A 19418-nucleotide genomic window follows, 5' to 3' on the forward strand; every position below is an offset into this window, starting at 1 on the left:
GGGGCAGGTGCGGCCAGGCAGGGGGGGCGGCCATGGGGGGCAGGGGCGGCCAGGCAGGGGGGCGGCCATGGGGGGCAGGTGCAGCCAGGCAGGGGGGGCGGCCGTGGGGGGGCAGGTGCGGCCAGGCAGGGGGGGCGGCCGTGGGGGGCAGGTGCGGCCAGGCAGGGGGGGCGGCCGTGGGGGGCAGGTGTGGGCAGGCAGGGAGGGATCCCTACAGGTGGCAGCTCACGCTGCAGGACCAGCGGCCCCAGGAACACAAGGGCTGCCCTGTGTGTGTCTGGGGGACCAAGGGGGTGAACCTAGGCAGCCGTAGACCACAGGCTGGGTGGCCACTCATGTGGAGTCCAGGGGACCCAGGGAGCTCCAGGAGGCCTCTGGAACCCTCCAGAACCTTCCAGAACTTCACACTTGAATTTTGTTCTGTCCCAGGCAGGTTCTCCAGCCTCAGGTCCAATGGCCAACTCATGCCCAGGGCAGGCCCAGTGTGGGGCTTGGGCGCCGAGGGAGGGACCGCACACCTTGAGTTCCTGCCGAGTCCAGAGAATGGAGGAAGTGGCCAGTGAGGGCCCAACTTGCTGGTGGGCCTCTCTGAGCCCAGCATCCTCTTCTGAAATGGGGGCGTGATGTTCCTGCCTCCCAGGGAGATCTGCAGACCAGCCCTGCGAGGTGTGGAGTCAGCCCCTGCGCGTGCCCGGTCCCCACTCACATTGCCACCTGCCTCCGGTGTGGCTGCGAAGTCGGAGGGAGGAGAGAGCCAGCCAGGGGTGTGGGCGCCAAGATCAGAGACTCGCACGCTGCTGGACGGAATGTGGACCGGCCCAGCTGCTGGGTCACCTGCCGGCAGCTCCCGAAACAACCAGTCACCACGAGACCCAGCAACTCCACCCCTAGGTGTGCGCCCAAGATAAACGGAAGCTCCTGTCCGCACAAACACCCGTGCGGCTTCCTTCACTAAGGGTGGAAACGGCCCGGGTGCCCATGGGTGGGTGACGGATGAACCGGGTAGACCGTCTGTACAATGGAATATTTATCCTTCCGCCACAAAAACAGAAGAAATTCGGACGCAGGCTTCAGTACGGACGGGGTTTAAAGTTGTGATGTGTACGCCACAGTCCGTGTGTGATTCCATTCCCGAGAAGCCCAGCGCTGGCCAGCCCCTGGGAACAGAAGGTGGCTGAGTGGGTCTTTATGGCTGGGGGGCTGGGGCTGGGCTGATGACGTTTATTTTTGATGAAAATGTTCTGGGCCAGGCTTTGTGGTGGCTCACAACTGTGATCCCAGCACTTTGGGAGGCCGAGGCGGGCGGATCACCTGAGGTCAGAAGTTCAAGATCAGCCTGGCCAACATGGTGAAACCCCATCTCCACTAGAAATACAAAAATTAGCTGGGCGTGGTGGTAGCACGTGCCTGTAATCCCGGCTACTCGGGAGGCTGAGGCAGGAGAATTGCTTGAACCCGGGAGGCAGAGATTGCACTGAACCGAGATCGCGCCACTGCACTCCAGCCTGGGCGACAGAACGAGACTCCGTCCGAAAAAGAAAAAAGAAAATGTCCTGAATGGACGGTGGTGACGGCCGCACGTAGCTGAACGTGCTGGAGATGGTGGAATCGCCACTGTCGGTGGAGAAATTCATGGAGCGTGAATTACGGCCGACCCCGGAAAAACGCGGGTTTGAACTTTGGGCTCACCTGCACGTGGATTTTCTCCTTTCTCTGCTGCTCCTGGGTCAGCAAGACCAGCCCCTCCTCTTCCTTCTCCTCCCCAGCCTCCTCAGCATGAAAAAGACCAGGATGAAGACCTTTAGGGTGATCCGCTTCCACGTGGAGACGAGGAAATGCATCCTCTCTTCCTTAGGATTTTCCGAATGGCATTTTCTTTTCTCTGGCTTACTGTATTGTAAGAACACACTATATCACACATTCACGATACAAAAACGTGCATCGACTGTTTATGTTATTGGTAAAGCTTCTGGTCAATAGTAGCCTATGAGTAGTTAAGTTTCGGGGCAATCAAGAGTTATACTTGGGTCTGGCGCAGTGGTTCACAACTGTAATCCCATCACTTGGGGAGGCCGAGGCGGGCGGATCTCGAGGTCAGGAGATCGAGACCATCCTGGCTAACACGGTGAAACCCCATCTCTACTAAAAATACAAAAAATTAGCCGGGCATGGTGGCGGGCGCCTGTAGTCCCAGCAACTCAGGAGACTGAGGCAGGAGAATGGTGTGAACCCAGGAGGCGGAGCTTGCAGTGAGCCAAGATCCCACCACTGCACTCCAGCCTGGGCGACAGAGCGAGACTCCATCTCAAAAAATAAATAAATAAATAAATATAGAAACCCCAGCACTTTGGGAGGCCAAGGCAGGCGGATCACCTGAAGTCAGGAGTTCGAGACCAGCCTGGCCACATGGTGAAACCCCATCTCTACTAAAAATACAAAAATTAGCCAGGCATGGTGGCGTGCACCTGTAATCCCAGCTACTTGGGAGGCTGAGGCAGGAGAATCACTTGAAACCAGGAGGTGGAGCTTGCAGTGAGCCGAGATTGCACCACTGCACTCCAGCCTGGGCAACAGAGCAAGACTGTCTAAAAATATATGTATATATTTTTTTTGAGGTCAAGAGTTTGAGACCTTATAATATATATAAATAGAAGGATTTTCAACTTTGTGTGGGGTTGGCGCCCGAGTCCCCCATTGATCAAGGGCCAATTGTGTATCTCAATAAAGCTGTTAAGACAAAAAAGACTTGCCCAGACTCCCTGAGCAGGGTCAGGGCTGCAGAAGCCAAATGGGCTTGGGAGGGGCTGGCCGGCTGTGGCTCTGTTTTCACTCTGCAGGGTCCCTGGGTGTTTATTCAGCAGGCCTGGGCCCTGCTCCCCACCCAGCCAGAGGCCTCCTCCCCTCCCCGGAGTCTTCCCAGAGGATGTTTTTCCAGGGCCCGGCTGGGCAAATGGCATTTGGATTCTGGCCGGGGAAGCCTGGGGGGACAGTCCCCACGTCCTAGCCCCGTTTGGAAGCAGCCTGTTTCCTCCAGCATCCAGCCAGAGCCCTGCGGATTCATTCTCGGCCACCCGCTGCCCCTCGGAGCTGTGGGACCCCAGGGGGTGCACCTCCTGGGCTGTGCTGGCCTTGGCAAGGCTGGGCAAGGCGAGGCTGGGCCAGGCACCCCTGAGCGTGAGGGACCTGAGGAGGGGTTCAGGCAGGAGCCTCGTGTGGTCTCCCTGTGATGATATTCGGGGCCCCCGACCCCTGCCCGGTGAGGGAGCATGTGGAGCGTCAGGGCACACGGGATGCACAGCTCAGCAGCCCAGGCAGGCCTCTGGTGGAGACGTCCCACACCCCACCCCACCCTCCGCCCCGGCTCCCGCCTTCCCCACCCCCAGACCCGGCCCCTAATCACAATGCACTTCCCACAGCTGGTCCCCACAGCGAGCTCTGCGCCATCCGGATTGAGTGGGGGTGGGTGGGAGTTTTCCCAGAAACGGGCCTGTGAGTCACCAGCCAGGCCAGGAAGTGGCTGCCTCCTGTCCAGCCCCCCAGCTGACCACTGGGCCTCAGTGTGGATCACACAGCAAGGCCATCCATGGTGACCCGAGGACTGACTGAGCGCCTGCTGCCCCCCAACCTCCAGGCGCTCCCAGGCTGTGACTGAGACTGCGGTCAGCGGCCCCGTGCGGGCCCTCATGGAGGAGCACGAAGAACAGGTGCTTCAGGGAGGACAGGATTTTGGGGAGCCCCTGGGGGGGCCTTCCTAGAGGGGAACACGCGTGGGGAGCCCTGAGGTCAGAGCTGACACGCGTGCGAAGGAGGCCTTGGAGGCTGCAGCTCAGCAGGTGGGGCCGGGCTGGGCCCCGAGATGGAGAGGGGAGGCCTTCCCAGGGGCTGTCAGGCCAGGGGTGCCACCAGGAAGCCCAGAGGAGGGGGGGGCCGCTCCTGGGCCCCAGTCACCCAGCCTGGTATATGAGAGTAGGGGGGACCAGAGAGGGAAAGATGGTAGGCAGCCCCAGGCCACACAGAAACCCAGGCAGGACCGTAAAACCCAGGCCTCGACCCGTCAGCCTCCAGCCGCTCTCCGAGGCACCTTGCAGGGGGTGGGATGGCAGTGGGGAGCCTCTCACAACAGGAACTGGGGTCCCAGATGCTGCCCGGAGCCTGGAACTGCGAGTGGCCGTGGCGGTGGCTGTGCTGCTCTTATACGGGACACCCCGGCACCCGAAGGTCGAGCAGGGACCCAGCCCCTGCCACAGCACCTGCCAAGCATCTGGGTGACACTGTGGTCGGGTGGGGCGGGGGGCTTAAGTCAGGTGAATTTGTCAGCTCGGGCAGCTGTGACAAAGTTGCACAGACCCTGGTGGCTTCAACTGCAGGAACTGATTCTCCTGGAAGCCCGAGATCCAAGGGCTGGCTCTTCCGAGGCCCCGCTTCCCGCTCTTGCACACCGTCTTCCTGAGGCGCCCTCACATGGCCATCCCTCGGGGCGTGTCTGTCCCAATCTCCTCTTCTTACAAGGACGCCAGTCATATTGGATCAGGGCCACCCTGTCTTACCTTGACAACCTTTACCTGTCTCCAAACACAGTAGCACACTGGGGCCCTGGGTGCTAGGGCTTCAGCTTGTGAATCTGAGGGCCTTTGTCTGCCCAGGCACTGCCTCCAATAGAACCTTTGGTCCTGCAGGCCGGCAGGTGCCTCTGCCTCCATGCAGCCTGGCCTTAGCCCTGCCTTCATTCCACCTCCCCTCTGGGACTAGGGATGGTGCTGGGAGGCCAGACAGGCTTTGGGGAAGTTACCTGACCTCTCTGAGCCACGAGGTCTTCATTTACAGGATGTGGCTGTGTGTCTCACTGTGACTCTGGGGAGGGACAAGGCTTAGTCAGTGCCTGCCCGGACGCCCACACCCAGCACACAGTAGGTGCTCAGAAAACGCAGCCCAGATTGTTGGAGGCAGAGGGACCCAGGGGCCCCTGGAACAAAGCCCTCGTTGAGCTGGTAGAGACCAAGGCCAGAGAGCCCTAGGCACCTCCCCCGTCTCCCAAGGCCTCTGGGGACCCCCTTTCCACCGAGACCCCTCTGCCCCTGCCCCTCCGGTGACTCGGTGGTTCCCACGTCAGTGACAGCAGGGCCCCTCCCGCCCAGGACAAGCACCACCGCAGGCTGGGGCTGCCTTTCCCTCCTCCGTCTCCCCTCTGCCCACTCGGATCCCACCAGCCTCCTCCAAGGGCCTGTCTGGCCTGCCCAGTCTGCGGGACTCCAGCCATGGTGACGATTCCCCACCATCTCTTGGGAAGGACTGGAGTCATGGTTCAGCTCCAACTGGGGGAGTGCTCCGGTTGCCAGCGGCCAGAGGACCCCGGGGTTGGGGCTGATCCTCGTCAGTCACCCCATCACCAGCTGAAGACCCCCAGCGCCTCCCATGCCCCCTGAGGTGAGGGGGCTGCCTGGAGCATGTGCCCCTGGGGTGACTCGTCCAGGCTACCAGAGAGGCTGCCCAGGAGCACCCGTGTGAGGGGCTGGCCTGGCTCCCATCGTCAGGCACGTGAGGCTGCATGGGGGCTGCATGGGACTTCGCGCCCTTGTCCCCAGGTAGAAGAAGGGGGCGCAGATACCCCCCAGGATGGTCACAGACCCTCCCCATCCCCCTCCAGGGCCAGGGCCAGGTGGTTCGCAGGCTGAGCCTGGGCTCCTGGATCTTGGAGACAGAGGAGACAAAGGAAGAGGTCTCCAGCCATCTGGGCCATTGGTGCACTTGGGGCCTGAGGTTTCTCCAGCCCGTCGGGATTGACCCCTGCTGTCCGAGTAGCCTGGGGTGTGGGCCCCCACCCTGTCCATCTCATATGTGTCCCCCCGGCTCCCCACCAGAGGGGATGAGTGTGTGGAAGGATGTCGGGGGGCTGCTTTGCTTTCTCAGGTCAAAGAAACATTGCCCTTGCCTTTCTGGAGCCCAGAGAAGTGGGTTCTCCAGGATCCAGCCCACGGAACATTCCAGAACCTGGTGGGGGGGGCCTCACCCCTCCCCTACCTCCCCATGGGGGTGATTTCCTCTGCTCGGCCACTCCCAGGCTCACCTCCAGAAGGTCCAGTTGCTGGACCAGGCAGGTCACAGGCCGAGCTCTGCTTCCAGCTGTCCAAACACACAGTGCCTGCAGGGCGACCTGGGGGTGATGGGGGTGTGGGATTGGGGGCTGGGGGCACAGGCCTGAGGGAGGGCCTTGCCCACTTCCCTGCAGGAGCCTCGGCCAGCCCTGCCTGTCTCTGATCTGTTGCCTCTTTGGGTTTAGGAAGTGCCAAAGAGGGCCATTATGGGGAGACCCTCAGGACTGCAGGGGGAGGGGCTGAGAGCCGTGCAGGAGATGTGGGCCGCCCACGGGGTGTGGCGGAGTGGGGAGGACAGGGCCCTTGGAGTTCGATGGCACTGGTGTGGGGACTGGCAGGCCCCAGGTCTGGGACCAGCACCCACACAGGAGACGCGAGCCCCAAACGGTATGGCGGGAAGTGGTGGGGCCCGTGTGCTGGGAACAGGTTCGTGCCTCCTGCAAGCTGTGCCGCCACGCTGGGCCAGGCTACTGAGTCGAGCAGCATCGGGTGGGCCTGGCCCTCAGGGGCTTTGCAGGGCCTGGGGCTGGTTGGAGCTGAAGGAGGCGGCCCCTCCAGACCAGGTGCCCTCCGGTGAGTGTCTCTGTCCTGTCCTCTCCCCTGTGAGTTGGAGAGAATGGCGGCACCCTGAGCCGCTGCAAAATGAAAGAGATCGTGGGTGAGAAGAGGCTCCTTGCTGGGGGCAGCTCTGTAGGCTCCTCTACTTGGGGCGATCGGGAGGCTCTGGAAAGAGCAGGCATCTGAGCTTGGCCGGAAGGCCTGGCCCCGGCGGCTGCTGCCCCTGGGACTCCCACATGAAGAGGCTGGGCAGGGGCGTGCCTGGAGGCCTCCCAGGCAGGTGCAGAGAGCGGCTGGCAGAGAGCTAGTGTGGAAACTGCCTTCCAGGGCAGTAAACTCCCCAGCAGCCAAAACCAGAAGGACATGAGAGGGCCCTAGGTGGGGCTGTCAGCCGGGCACCCACACCAGCCACAGCCAGCCTAGGAGAAGCTAGGGAAGAGGTGGGCTTGCCGAGGTGTATGGAAGAGGGTTTGGGCTGAAGGAGAGGTCATTCTTTTAAAGGAAAAGGCGACACAAACTCAGAGTCACTGTCAGCACGTGGTGTCTGGCCTGCTGTCACCTGGGGGAAAGGCACAGGTGCTGGGAAGTCCTGCCCGGCCGCTCTGCCTGTGTGAGAACCACCTGGGGGAGGCCTGGGGGGCCACCAGCCCCAGCGGGGATCTCCAGCCAGCCCAGCCCTGTTTTTTCCTCTCCTCCCACCTCCGCACTGGCCAATTTTCCTCTGTAGTGCAGGCATTACTTGCTGTTTTGTGAAGCACGTGCTGAACCCAGCGCAGGCCTGTGGCAGGTGCTGCCAGCCAAGACCTGCCTCGACGAAGGCCCCACACCAGGCACTTCTGCCGGGTGCGGCCCCTCGAGGCGCAGGAGCTGGTGGTGCAGGCAGCATGGAGGCCGGTTCCCGGGGCACAGCTCTCCTTGGAACTAAGTGAGACCTAAGTCCCACGTGGACGGGACCCTGGCCATCCCCCTGCACCCCTGCGTGGCCGTGGCCAGTCTCCGTGGGCGCCCACTGCTCCGTAAGCACCTGCCATCTTTCACTTCCTTATCCTGTGAGGGAAGTGGTGAAGAAGCCGAGGCTGCTGGCTGGGTCACACCACCAGCAAGTGGCAGAACCCCACCCAAGTCACACCGGCCCCGAGGCCAGGCTCTGAGCCACAGCCCAACAGCCGCAGCTGGGCCAGGACATGCCGGCTCTGGACGCAGGAGCACGGGGCAGTCTGGGCAGTGGAGACTCAGCCTGGGCGCCAGGACACTGCAGCCCCCACCTCAGATGTCCCCTGGGGCCAAGGAGGGAGTGTGAGGGAGGCGGGTCCCAGGAGAGGAGGCGGAGGCCTGGGGTGCCTGAGGTCCTTGGCCTGCCCCTGCTCTCCCGGCTGCCACTTTCCTGCGGGAACAGCTTCCTGGCTTTCTGGCTGACGGCACGTTGGGAGCAAAGGTGGGGAGGCCAGGAGACCAGAGCCCTCGCTGGCACACATACGCTGTCCGGGTGGAGATGAGCACACCTTCCACCTAGAGAGGCATGTGAGTTGGGCCAAGCAATGGGCAAACATTTATGGAGCGCCTAATGTATGCCAAATCCAGTGGGGGGAGACAGGGAAGAACTGGATGCACCAACTGTCCTCAAATAGCCAGAAAAGGGCATCAGTAGGGGGTGCCCCATTGCCCAGGGAGGCCGAGACCCCTTCTGGGTGAGGCAGTCCAGGAGGACTTCCTGAAGGAGGAGGAGGAAGAGGGGGAGGAGCCTTAGGGACCCTTGGAGGCTAGGCACCTCTCTGGATCTCATTTTCTCTGAGGTAGGGAGAAGAGGCCAGTCCTGCCACGGGAGGAAGAGGGGGAGGAATTTTAGGGACCCTTGGAGGCTAGGCATGTCTCTGGGTCTCAGTTTCTCTGAGCTAGGGAGAAGACGCCAGTCCTGCCACGTGGGTTTGGTTGGGTTCTTTTCACCAGAAACAGATGAGCTTATGGCCAGGAAGCACTGGAGCCCCCGTGTGCATTTCCCCACTTTCCAGATGGGTGTAAGCGTCATGTCCCTGTGTTCACTGGTGAGGCCGGTGGTCTGGGGACTGAGCCCTGGCAGGCACAGGGAGCCGCCTTGCACTACTGGCACCCCCAGAGGAGGCTGCGGTGCTTGGCCCCGACCCACAGAGCCCAGCTGCTTCAGTGACTTGTGACCACAGAGCAGTCAGAGGCCGGCACCTGACCAGGGCCTGGGCCAGCGGCGCTCACCGTCCAGAGGTTGCGCACAGAGTGGAGAGGAAGCCGGGCCGGGAACTCTGTGGTGCACCGCGGTTGTTTGTGTTGACCCAGGAACTTGTGCAACGAACTGGGGCCCGGAAGGCTGGCTGCCCATGGCCACACGCAAGGGGCAGGCCGAGGGGCCACCCAGGAGGCTGCCCAAGAGCCAGGGTGGCCTGGGCCAGTCCCACCAGGTCGAACCCACCCAGCTGGGGTCACAGTCCAAGAACAGTGAAAACTGAACATCTCTCCTGGCCCCGCAGGACCCTCCCCAGTCTCTGCCCCTGCATGGTGAGGGAAGAAGAGAGGCAGGAGGCCCGTGTCTCCCGGAGTGACGGCCTTGCAGAGGACAGCCTGGAGTGTGCAGGGGAGAGGAAGTGGGGAGGGGGCTGCAGACCCTCCCTCAGGACTCCCGGGCCTCCGCCAGGCTGACCTGGGGTTGGGGGTGCCGCTTGGACCGTGTCTGTCTCAGCTCCCCTGACAGAGCTCGGGCCACAGACCCCAAAGGCCCAGCCAGGCCAGTTATTGGGCCCCTGCCAGACCCAGGCCGGAGGCCGGAGAGGGGTGTGGGGCATTTCCAGCCCCCCACAACCAGCGCCTGCTATCTGGAGTGGCCTGGTCCCACCCGAGATAGTCGCCCACAGCAGAGATGGACGCTGAGACCTGAGTGCAGGGCCGGCTTGGGCTGGAGAGCCGCTCCATGTCTGCCCAGGGCACCTGGAGGGGACGCCCGGGGGCTCCACACAGCTCGGCAGAGCCTGGCAGCCTGGGCAGCCCCTGGAGGAAGCACGCCAAGGCCCAGAGAAGGGGGCGAGCTGCTGGGGTCACAGGAGCGTTTGGGCCCACACTGAGCTCCGCTTCCCAGGGGGCTCCTCCTCCCAGACCCTCGCAGTGGCCTCTGCATGCGGCTGCACCCCTGCAGGCCCCCAGGGGCTCTCCTCCTGAGAGGGGACCTCAGGACGGAGGCCGCAGCCCCCTGTGCCCATGGGGCCACCCCTGCGGCATCCCCAGCCCGCAGGCCTCTGCCGGGAGGAGCCAGTGCCTCCCTCCGCGCCGGGCCCAGCGTGCGATTTCTGGGGACGGGGAGGAGATGCCCACCCCACCGCCACCTGGGGCCCCCCGGGCAGAGTGCGGCTGCCTCGCCCGTGTGGGGGGTCCTGGGATTCCAGAAAGCCCCCTCTTCCCACACGAAAGTCCTTTCAGGCCCCCCTAAGGCCCACCCAGCGCCTGCGGCCAACCTTTCTCTGCTCTTGCGACACCCGCCTGAGTGCTGAGGCAGAAATCTGACTCCCCGGCTCAGGCCCCAACCTGCCGGCCGCCCTCTCCGCAGGCTCCTCTCCCACGGGGAGGGCGCACCGGGCACAAGGACCCCGTGGAGACCTGCTGGTTCTGGGAGGCGGCGGGGGTCCTGCCCTGCCACGGCTCCTTGGGAAAAGGTGCTCTGTACACAGACCCTCGGCAGTGAGGTCCACCAAGGCCCCCGTACTGTGGCTTTCCCGCCTCTGAACAGGATGCTCTGCCGGGACCCTCACCAGATGCGTGGGCTGTGGCAGCCCCAGCCTGGCCCACGGCTGCTAGAGTCTGAGCCATCCCACCTCTCACAGGCAGGGAAGGCTGTGAACAACCACGTCTCCCAGGGCCCACGTTGTCCCCAGGCTGACCTCCCCAGCACAGCCCCTCTCGGCTCATGGGGGAAGGGGAGGGACCCTTGGGTGTGGAGTCTTGCCCTCACCCCAGGGACCCTGGGTGTCGGGGGAGATGGTGCGTTCTGCCCAGGCACGTATGGGGCTCAGGACGCCTCTCCAGGACACGATCAGAGCCAGGGTGAAGAGGCAGGGCTGGGTGGGCTCGTGGGGCTGGGTGGGGGTAACCTGGCTGGAGGCCCACAGGCTCATGTCTAGCTGAGCCCAGCCTCACCTTCCCCCTGCTCCTCCTAGGCTGGGAACAGGTGGCCTGGTCCCCTCGGCTTCCCATTCCCAGCGCCGGCCGCCGCAGGTGGGGTGGGTAACGGGGGCCTTCCTTCCTCTGCAGCAGATGGTGAAGGAGCCGTGGTGACCTGGCCATAAACAAGGGTGGCCCCTCCCTGTGGGGGAAGCTGCCGGGGCAGGATGCTCGAGGTGGGCTCAGTGGTGGAGGGGCTGGCCATGGGATCAGGAGGCTCCTGAAGGTGGGCAACCTCCTCTCTACCCCAGGACCAGGCCCCTGCCATCCTCCAGGCTGAACCTGGTAGCGTGTGGTTGTGCAGGTTGAGCACTGCTCACAGGACCCGGGGCATCTTTCTAAGGTGTGAATTGGACGTCTTCGTGCACCAGCGAAACCCACCCCTGCCCGAGGGATGAAGTTCGAGTCCTTGGCCCCTGCCTGTCCCCCAACCCCCCACCTCATCCCGAGTGACTCCTCCGAGAGCCAGGCCAGCGAGCCACCCTGCTGTCCCCATCAGTGCCCGGTCACACGTGCCATCGCTGTGTGGTCCCTGGGACATCTTCTCCCCTGGTCGTTGGGTGCTGCCACGCCTGGAGTGGCCTAAATAAAACCACTTTGGAATCTCCAGGGTCCGACAGGAGCCCCTCACACTGAGGCTTGTGGAAGCCAGGTTTTGCTGGTGAAGGGTCCAGGACTAGAGTGCTGAGTGAGCCGAGGGCTGGGGGGCAGACAGGCCCAGGGGATCCTCTGGTCAGGGCCCAGCACAGCCCAAGGCAGGTGAGGACAGACCTGCGGCCCACCAGGGAGGGCACGGGCGGGACGCCAGGCCCAGCCCCATGCCTCAGGCTCCTGAGTCCTGTAGCCCCCAGGACCTGCGCCCTGCCTCTTCTGCCTCATCACACAGACACGTGGGGAGCAGCCTGGATCTTCTCTTCTGTGCAGGGGCTTTGCCCGGGCACCGCTCTCCCTAGCCACGGTGCCGCCCCTGCTGTCTCTCAGGCACATCGGTCGGTCTGCAGCCGCCTGGGGCATGAAACGCCTCTTCCCGGGAGCCTCCCCGGAGCTCCTGGGCAAAGCTGGTGTCTCCCCAGTCTTGCTGGGGCCAAGGCTGAGCCCCCTACAGGGAGTCCTGAGGGGCCTTCATGGGCCTGGTGGGCTCTGGGGCCGTTGGAAGCCCCTTTGTGGTGCAGAGACTGGGTGGCCTAGGTCAGCTGCATCCTTGCTGGGTGCCTCAGTTTCCCCATGTGTGAAGCAGACAATATGTCTGAAGCCAGTGGGCCTAGGAGGCTCCAGCCAGAGCCCCGTGATGGGGGACCCGCCTCTGATGCTGCTGGGCTCTCAGGGCAGCCCCGGCCGGTTCCCACCAGGCAGCTCCTGGTGTGGAGAGCGGGCACATGCCCGGGCAGCATCCTCCACAGCTGGCTGCTCAGAGGACGGGGCGCCTGCCCCACACCCACCGTGGGCTCATGCCCCTCAGGGTCAGGGTTCAGGGAGGCCCCGTGCACTCCTGGCTCTGGGCCCCTCCTCCTTTCTCCTTCCTTCTCTCCAGTGGCCCACGAAGGACCCGGGGCCACTCCTGGGACCCAGAGACCAGGCCTCGGTGCTCCCGGGGCCCTGGGTGAATGCTGGGAATGTGGGGCTCCCTATCCTGGGAACCCCAGGGCTGCCAAGGAGGCCCAAAGACTCTGGGCTCTGTGTCTGGCTCTTGGGACAGCAGGACAGCAGGGATCTCTGGGGTGGCCCAGGCCCCACACCTGACCCAGGGCCCACCACAGCCCAGATCAGTGACTCCAACAAGGAAGGAACTGCTCTGGCGAGCCTCCTCCACCCCTACAGACCCCTGCTGGCCACATGGCCAGACACCCAGCTCTGCCTCCTGTCCTGATGGAGACAGCTATTTAGCGCCAGCTGTGTGCAGCCACGCACTGCTTCAGGGGCAGAGCTGAGGGGCAGGCGTGGGAGCTGCAGCCAGGGGCCAGCCCCCGAGGGGCTGGAGGTTGGTACTCTCTGCCCCAGCTCCAGGACAGGGCCAGGGTCAGCGGCCAGGAAGGGCAGAAGCTGGGGGCTGGGCTCAAGAAGGTGGGCACTCACCTGGAGCCACTCCACACCCTCCTCCCCGGCTCAGCACTTTCTCACGCTCAGAGCTGGCACGGGGGCCAGGCCTCGCTGGGGCTTGTCCTGGCCCTGGGAAGGCGGGCGAGGCTTTCCTCTGGGCCCAGGGGCAGGGGCCGCTGCAGGTTGGGACACGTCTGGAGTGGGGGAGCCCGGTTGCAACACCGGCTGAGCAGCTGCAGGATCTCGTGGGGCTGCAGGAGGCCCAGCCCCCACTGCACATGTCCCAGCCTGCTCGGTCCCCAGAGAGGACAGGGGGCATCAGAGAGAGGCAGCTCCCAAAACTTGGACCTAGAGACCTGGGCCAAGGCCCTGTCCCTCCCTGGTCCTCCATGTTCTCCCTTTGAATTTGGGGAACCTGGTCAGAGCACCCATGTGGGATCTTGTGCGCACAGCACACACCACGCCTTGTCAGGGCCTGGGATGGTCAGCAGCATCTCAGCCTCAGCGCTACTCTCTGGAGAGTGGGATGACGGGGCCACGTCAGCTGCTGGGAGGCTCCCAGGAGGAAGCCGCACACTAGGGACTCTTGCCCAGCTGTGTGGTGGCTGTGCCTTCAGGACGTGCAGTCAGGAATTCCTAAGGGCCCCTGAGCCTGAGGACTGGGGATGGAGCCCTGTGGCCCCTGGCTCTCAGCCTCACCCAGCCCCAGGCTTTGACCTCAGAGCTGTCCACCCAGAACTGCTGGGGCTCCTCAGCCCCCTGGAGCTGGGAGCTGGGCGGAGTCACCCTCAGACGGTGCACCTGCCCCAGACCTGCTCCAGCCGCCAGCCAGTCTCTCAGAGCCAGCCGGGCCCCTCTGGCCACACAGGCCTCGACCCCTGCACGAACCCGCTGGAGGTGATGCCTCACCTGGAGGTCTCACCCGCAGACTCCTGGGATGGGCCTCTGGTTCTAAGGACAAACTGGCTCCTCCTGGGACCCACCTGCCTCAATGGGTCTATAGGGACCCAGGCTGTTGTCAGCCCCCAGGAGCAGCCAAGGCCCCCGTGCATCCTTGGCCAGTCAGATTTGTCACACTGGGATGAGAGACAGGCCAGAGGGGCCTTGGATGGCTCCCGTCCAGCCATCACCCCTGCCCACTCTGTTCCTGGGGAAACCGAGGCCCAGGGAGATACAGACCCATGGCTGGCTTCCTGAGTCACAGAACCTGGGGGAAGCGCCCGGCCTCTCCCACCTTGGTCTGCAGGCCTGCAAAGCCCTCCATCTCCCCGGCCCCTCGCCCTGGGCAGGAAGGCGGGAACGGGGACACTGGGCTCTGGGGAAGGGAACTCACAGGTTAGGAGCTCCATCTGCAGGAATCTCGTGCTGTCCTCAGAGCTGGGCAGGGTGAGAGGCAGGTCCCCTGGGAGGCAGCCCCCGACACCCAGCCACTCTCTGGCAGCCTCCCAGGCCGGCGTGGGAATGTGGCTGGCGGGAACGGGGCCTCTCCCCTGGGGAATCAGCTGCTGGGTGCTGGCCAAGAACGCTCTGATCCAAAGAGGAAGCAAAGTTCAGCTGCAGCAACTTGACCCAGGACAGCTGGGGAAAAATGGGCGGCCGGGGCAGGGGCAGAGACTGTCCAGACCAGGTTGAACTCCAGCCCCTGCCCTGGTCTGATCCTTAATCTCAGCTACAGTCTGAGCCCTGATCCGAGCTACAGATTAAGTCTTGACAGACACAGTCTGCGTGTCTACTCCAGCTATGGACTCATCCCTAATCCCAGCTACAGGCTGGCCTCTGATCCCAGTCACACACTGAACCCTCATCCCAGCCATACACCAAGTCCTTACCCCAGCCGCAGACTAACCCCTGAGGCCACCTATAGGTCGACCCCTCACCCTGGTCACAGACTGAGCCCCCATCACCAGCCCAAATTGACCCTTGATCCCAGACTAAGCTGAGCCCTGGTCAAAAGCATAGACTGACCCCTGATCCCAGCTACAAACTAAACTCTGCTCCCAGCCATAGCCTGAGCCCTGACCCAGGCACAGAATGAGTTCCCATCCCAGCCACGGGGTGACCTCTGACCTCAATCAGAGCCTGGCTTCTGATCCCAGGCACAGACTGACCCTGGCTCCAAACCAACCTTAGCCTCAGCTCTGCGGATCTCCAACTCAAACTCTGCCCAAACCCCAGACTGAGTCCATCCCGAGTGGCATTTGCCGAGGGCGAGCGCCTCCCGCCACTCTGGAAGTGACTGTCGACTCTGCTGGGCCCCATCATGCCTCCCTGGCTGCCATGTCCCCTCCTGGCCCTGCACTTTCAAGGGAACTCGGGCCAGCTGGAGCGGGTGCAGGAGGGAGGCCAGGCGCAGGCCGGAGGGCAGCTGAGGGAGCCAGGCAGGCCAGTGTGGGGCTGGGAGGCCAGGTCGCCGGCTTGCCAAGTGCCTGCTGTGTGTCAGCACGTCCCCTCCACCACCTCAACTCTTCCTAGCCAGCACCAAAAGGTGGAGAGCCAGGCTGGACGGGGCAGCAACGGCAAAGCAGACAGCAGGTGCATGGTGGCCGAGCTCCAACCATGTCCATCCAAACCCAACCTGGTTGGCCCTTGCTGGAGACAAACCCCAACCCCGTCCGGCAGATGCCCACCTGCAGGGTGGGACTGCGGGGGTGGCAGGGGCTCCTGGGTTGGTGGTGTGCCCCGGGGTGCCGGAGATGCCTCGGACCGGGAAGCCAGAGCCACGACGGGTCGGGGCAGGGGTCGGGGCAGGGCGGGGCAGGGGTGGGGGCAGGGCGGGGGCAGGGGTGGGGGCAGGGCGGGGGCAGGGGTGGGGGCAGGGCGGGGGCACCTGCACTCTCAGCCCTTGCAGCTGCCAGCCTGGGGTCTGGTGCTGGGAATCCCATGCTGGGGGAGAAGAAGCTGTTTATTGGGAGCTGAGCGATCCTCTAATCTCTGCCTTATCGCCGCCTGTTTGCCCAGTGAGAGTGCAAACACAGGGGTGGAGGTCACAGGGCTGTGGGGAGGGGCCCACACTATTTGCCTGACTTCTCCCAGTGGTGTTAAAAATAGCACAGAGCTCTGGGCTCAGAGGGGTCTACGGAGTTCCCGCCTGGCCCCTGGCTCACGGGCACCAGCTGCCAGGTGGAGGCCTGAGGTATTGACACTCCCCGGCTCTGTGTTTGGCTTCTGATAGCGGCCCAGGAGGGCGTGGCTGGAGGGGCCCTTTCTCAAGAAAAGCCCAGAGAAGTGGTGTCCAGCCCCCTGCCCTGCCCACCTCGCCGCCCCCCACACCATCCCAGCCCACACCTGGACTGGGGGCAGGGGGGACCCAGGAAGCCCAGCTGGAGCACGGGGAGGGGCTGGAGGCTGGCTCCCAGCTCCCTGCTGCTGCCAGGACTGGCTGGGGCTGGGGTAGTGAAGCCCCAGGGAGAGGCAGGCCCAGTGCCGAGTCTGAGCCCATCCAGGGAGCCCCGTGCTCTGCCCCTAGAAGGCAGCATTGCCTGGTGGTGGCGGCACCTGAAGGGTTCCATGACCTGGTGCAGCCGCGGAACTGTGGAGCCTGTTTCCCCAGCTGCAAAGACGGGTACTCATGGTTCCTACGTCCTGAGGTGTGGCAGAGATGGATGCAAAGCTCATTGCAATGCAGGCATCAGCACTGCTCCACAGCCTCCAAGCCGAGGCCCTGCCTGTCCTAGCGTGCTTCTCACGGTCATCCCCGCCTGGTGGAGGACACAGGCTGGTGCCGGCTCCTGGCACCCCGAAGAAGATCCTTTTCCTTTCTGAGTTGAATGAGATTTAATCACCCTCATTACCTGGTTTACAGTGCCTCTGGGGTGCTTCAAAGCTCTCCTGGCACCAGCAGCGTGGGGAGCCCTCCCTGCCCCCGGGAGACGGATGTTGGCTGGAAGATCCCCAGGTTCATGGAGCCACGGGGCCACCCCACAGGCTTTGGGCCCAAAGGACCTGGAGAATGGGGCAGGGAGATGATGGGTGGGCTTGGTGCCCTTGAGGCGCCTCGACGGGGCCACCAGACCGGCAGGTGCCATCACTGTATCTGCCCGGCACAGACACAGACTCGCTCCACCCCCAGGGCTGCAAGGCCAGGCAGGGTGGGCCCGGCCAAGGCGGTGATAACACAGTGGCCATCTCGGGGGTGGGCCAGCTCGGGCCAGGGCTGCGGCGCCACATGGATGGGGCCGGGGCATCTTCCTGAGCACCCCTCCACAAAAATAAAAGTAGTAAACAACATCATATTTTATGTCTGTGCTGGCATAAAGACAAATATATTCATATTATGTATTAAAGCATTTTCTTGGCCCTAAAAGTTCAGTTTTTTTCTCCTGATTTTAAAAGAAATTAAAATATTTCTGTGAGGCCCTGCAAGCCTCCCAGGTGCTGGTGTTCGGGCCTAAAGCCGGAGTCGGCCCGCAGGGGATGCCAGAGCTCAGAGATGGGGACCGAGAGAGGGGTTAGAAAAGCGTCTCAGAGCCATCGGGCCGGGAGAGAAGAGGCAGGAAGAAAGGGGGGTCGCAGAGACGGTTGTGGAGGCCAGCTGGTCCCAGCAGCCGTGCCTGTGGCCACAGCGGCCGGAGGTGGCAGCAGCTGGACGAGATCCCGCAACATCCTGGAGGCTGCGGGCGGGGCGCGTGGAAGTTGGGGGCTGCGGGCGGGGCGCGTGGAAGGTGGGGGCTGGGGCTCCGGGGAAAGTACTGCTGCTGGGGTCGGCTACGGTGGGGCCTGGGTCCAGCTTTCTGGGGACTCAGTGAGCAGGGGTGCTGAGGCCCAAGCTGGCTGCCGGGGAGATCAAGTGGCTGGCCCGAGCCCCAGGCCTCAGTTTCCCCACCTGTACAAGGGAGGGTTGGATAAGAGGGTCTCCAGAGAGGTTCCTAAAAGCCAAAGGAAGAAATTGTGGTGCTGGCGGAAAGGGGAGTGTCATCTCGGTCAAGGGGTCTTCACCCAGTATTCCAGAAAGGCGATGGGGTGAGGCAGCTCCCCCCGGCCCCACAATCACTGTGTCTTCCAGCTAGAGCTCAGCCCTCTCTCCCGGGACTCCTCCTGGGGTCTGCCTGCCCAGGGACAGACGCCGGGCCAGCTGCCAGCCGGCCCTCTGTCCCCCTACCTGTGGGCGAGCGCCTCCCCCTGCCTTCTTGCTCCCTCAGGGAAGCTGCCATCAATCAGGCCCCAGCGTTTCCTGTCACTGCGCAGGTTCCCACGGCCTCTGCCCTTGACCCCCAGCCTGGGCATGGCCCGCCCACCCTCCTTGGCCCCCAGCAGCCCCTCAAGGACGCAGGGCAGGCCCCCCGGGCCTGGTGGTAGCAACCCTGCCTCATGGACCTGCCTGTCCTGTGAACACTGGGAGAGCCACTCAGAATCCTGGCTTCGGACACCGCCCTGTGCACCTCGAGGAAGAAGCTGCAGCTGATGGCACAGGTGAGCAAGCGGGAACTCCACAGGCTCCCTGCCCTGGGTTTGCCCCTGGGGCCCTCGGCTCCTCTCCCCAGCAACCTGTGTGTCCGGGATTCCCCCGCCTCTGTCCTGTGTCCAGCTGGGGAGTGGGGCCCCGGGATGGATCGTGGGAACAGCCACGGGGCCACTGAACAAGGCTTGAGAGGGCTGGGCAGGGTGGAGGCGGCTGCACCTGTGCCTGTCTTGCTGGGGGGTCCCTGGAGACTGGGGTCCTCGCCTGGGCCCTGTGCCCACCACTCTGCACTTTGGTTTCCTGGTGGCATCAGGACCCATCACTCTGGGCCAGCCGAGGGCTATCCAGCTAGGACACCCAGGCCTGGTGGCTGCCCAAGGCCCCTGAGCCTGGGCCCGGTCAGGGCTTCCCAGCCCCTTCTCCCTTCTTGGCAAACAAAGGCCCTGCCAGCCATATGCTGCGACTCTGATTTGTTGGGCGGGGGACCTGGGGCATTGGGCACACCTCACCCCACCCACCCTGGCACAGCACAAATGCTTCTTAGCCTGCACAGTTCCTCTCTGCACCCCATAACCTCTCAAACTAAGCTGCTCCCCACAGCTGGGTCACCATCACCCCAGCTGCCCAACCGAGGCGTGTCACAGTGAAGGCCCCAGCCCTGCCTGTTGCAGGGGGGAGGGGAGGGGGGCGACGACACCACCCTGTCCCCAGCTCCACTCCCTCAGGCACCGTCTCCTCCTCACAGCCCCCACTGGTCTCCTTACTGCGGTGCCCAAGACCCATCCTGGACTGGGGTCTGGTGCTGGGAATCTCACACTGGACCCCCAACCTGGCTCCCATGGGCCTGTCCTGCCCAGCCCCAGGCTGCCCCTCAGCAGCTCTCACCCCCTAGACCCCAGACTCCTGTCTCCCCTTCCCCACTCCTCCCAGGCTGGGCTGGGTCCCGCTGTGCCCATGTCTGCCCGCATATCTGTAGGACCACTCGCTGCCTCACCCCTGCACCCCCACCTGCCGGCCACAGCCACTCCCAGCCTGCACCTGCCAGGGCTTCACAAATGACCAAGGGGAAATGAAAACACAACTCTTCTGAGTTCAGCTGTCCAAGGCAGAGGCTGGGCAGTGCCCCCTGCCCACCAGCTCCTGGAGCTGAGCCAGGG

The 19418-nt window shown here is 63.7% G+C and overlaps 1 long non-coding RNA gene across 1 annotated transcript, besides 2 other annotated features; it reads right to left on the minus strand.

Annotated features, from left to right (window-relative positions):
- Positions 1-1014: 1014 nt before the first annotated feature.
- LINC01451 (long intergenic non-protein coding RNA 1451) lies at positions 1015-6168 on the minus strand. Its single transcript, NR_135288.1, has 3 exons — positions 3111-6168; positions 1690-1890; positions 1015-1157 (listed from the first exon to the last, which is right to left on the minus strand). It is a non-coding gene; the product is annotated as a long intergenic non-protein coding RNA 1451 (long non-coding RNA).
- Positions 4304-4598: a silencer, noted in NCBI's record as "tiled region #9516; HepG2 Repressive non-DNase unmatched - State 20:ReprD". NCBI's record gives its function as "represses a minimal TATA promoter and a strong SV40 promoter by Sharpr-MPRA in HepG2 cells {active_cell/tissue: HepG2}" and the evidence as "EXISTENCE:reporter gene assay evidence [ECO:0000049][PMID:27701403]".
- Positions 18690-19221: an enhancer, noted in NCBI's record as "H3K4me1 hESC enhancer chr9:139524155-139524686 (GRCh37/hg19 assembly coordinates)". NCBI's record gives its function as "activates a minimal SCP1, AML or CMV promoter by ChIP-STARR-seq in naive H9 embryonic stem cells {active_cell/tissue: H9 hESC(naive)}" and the evidence as "EXISTENCE:reporter gene assay evidence [ECO:0000049][PMID:30033119]".

Source organism: Homo sapiens, chromosome 9, assembly GCF_000001405.40.
Source record: "Homo sapiens chromosome 9, GRCh38.p14 Primary Assembly".
NCBI classification, from domain to species: domain Eukaryota; kingdom Metazoa; phylum Chordata; class Mammalia; order Primates; family Hominidae; genus Homo; species Homo sapiens.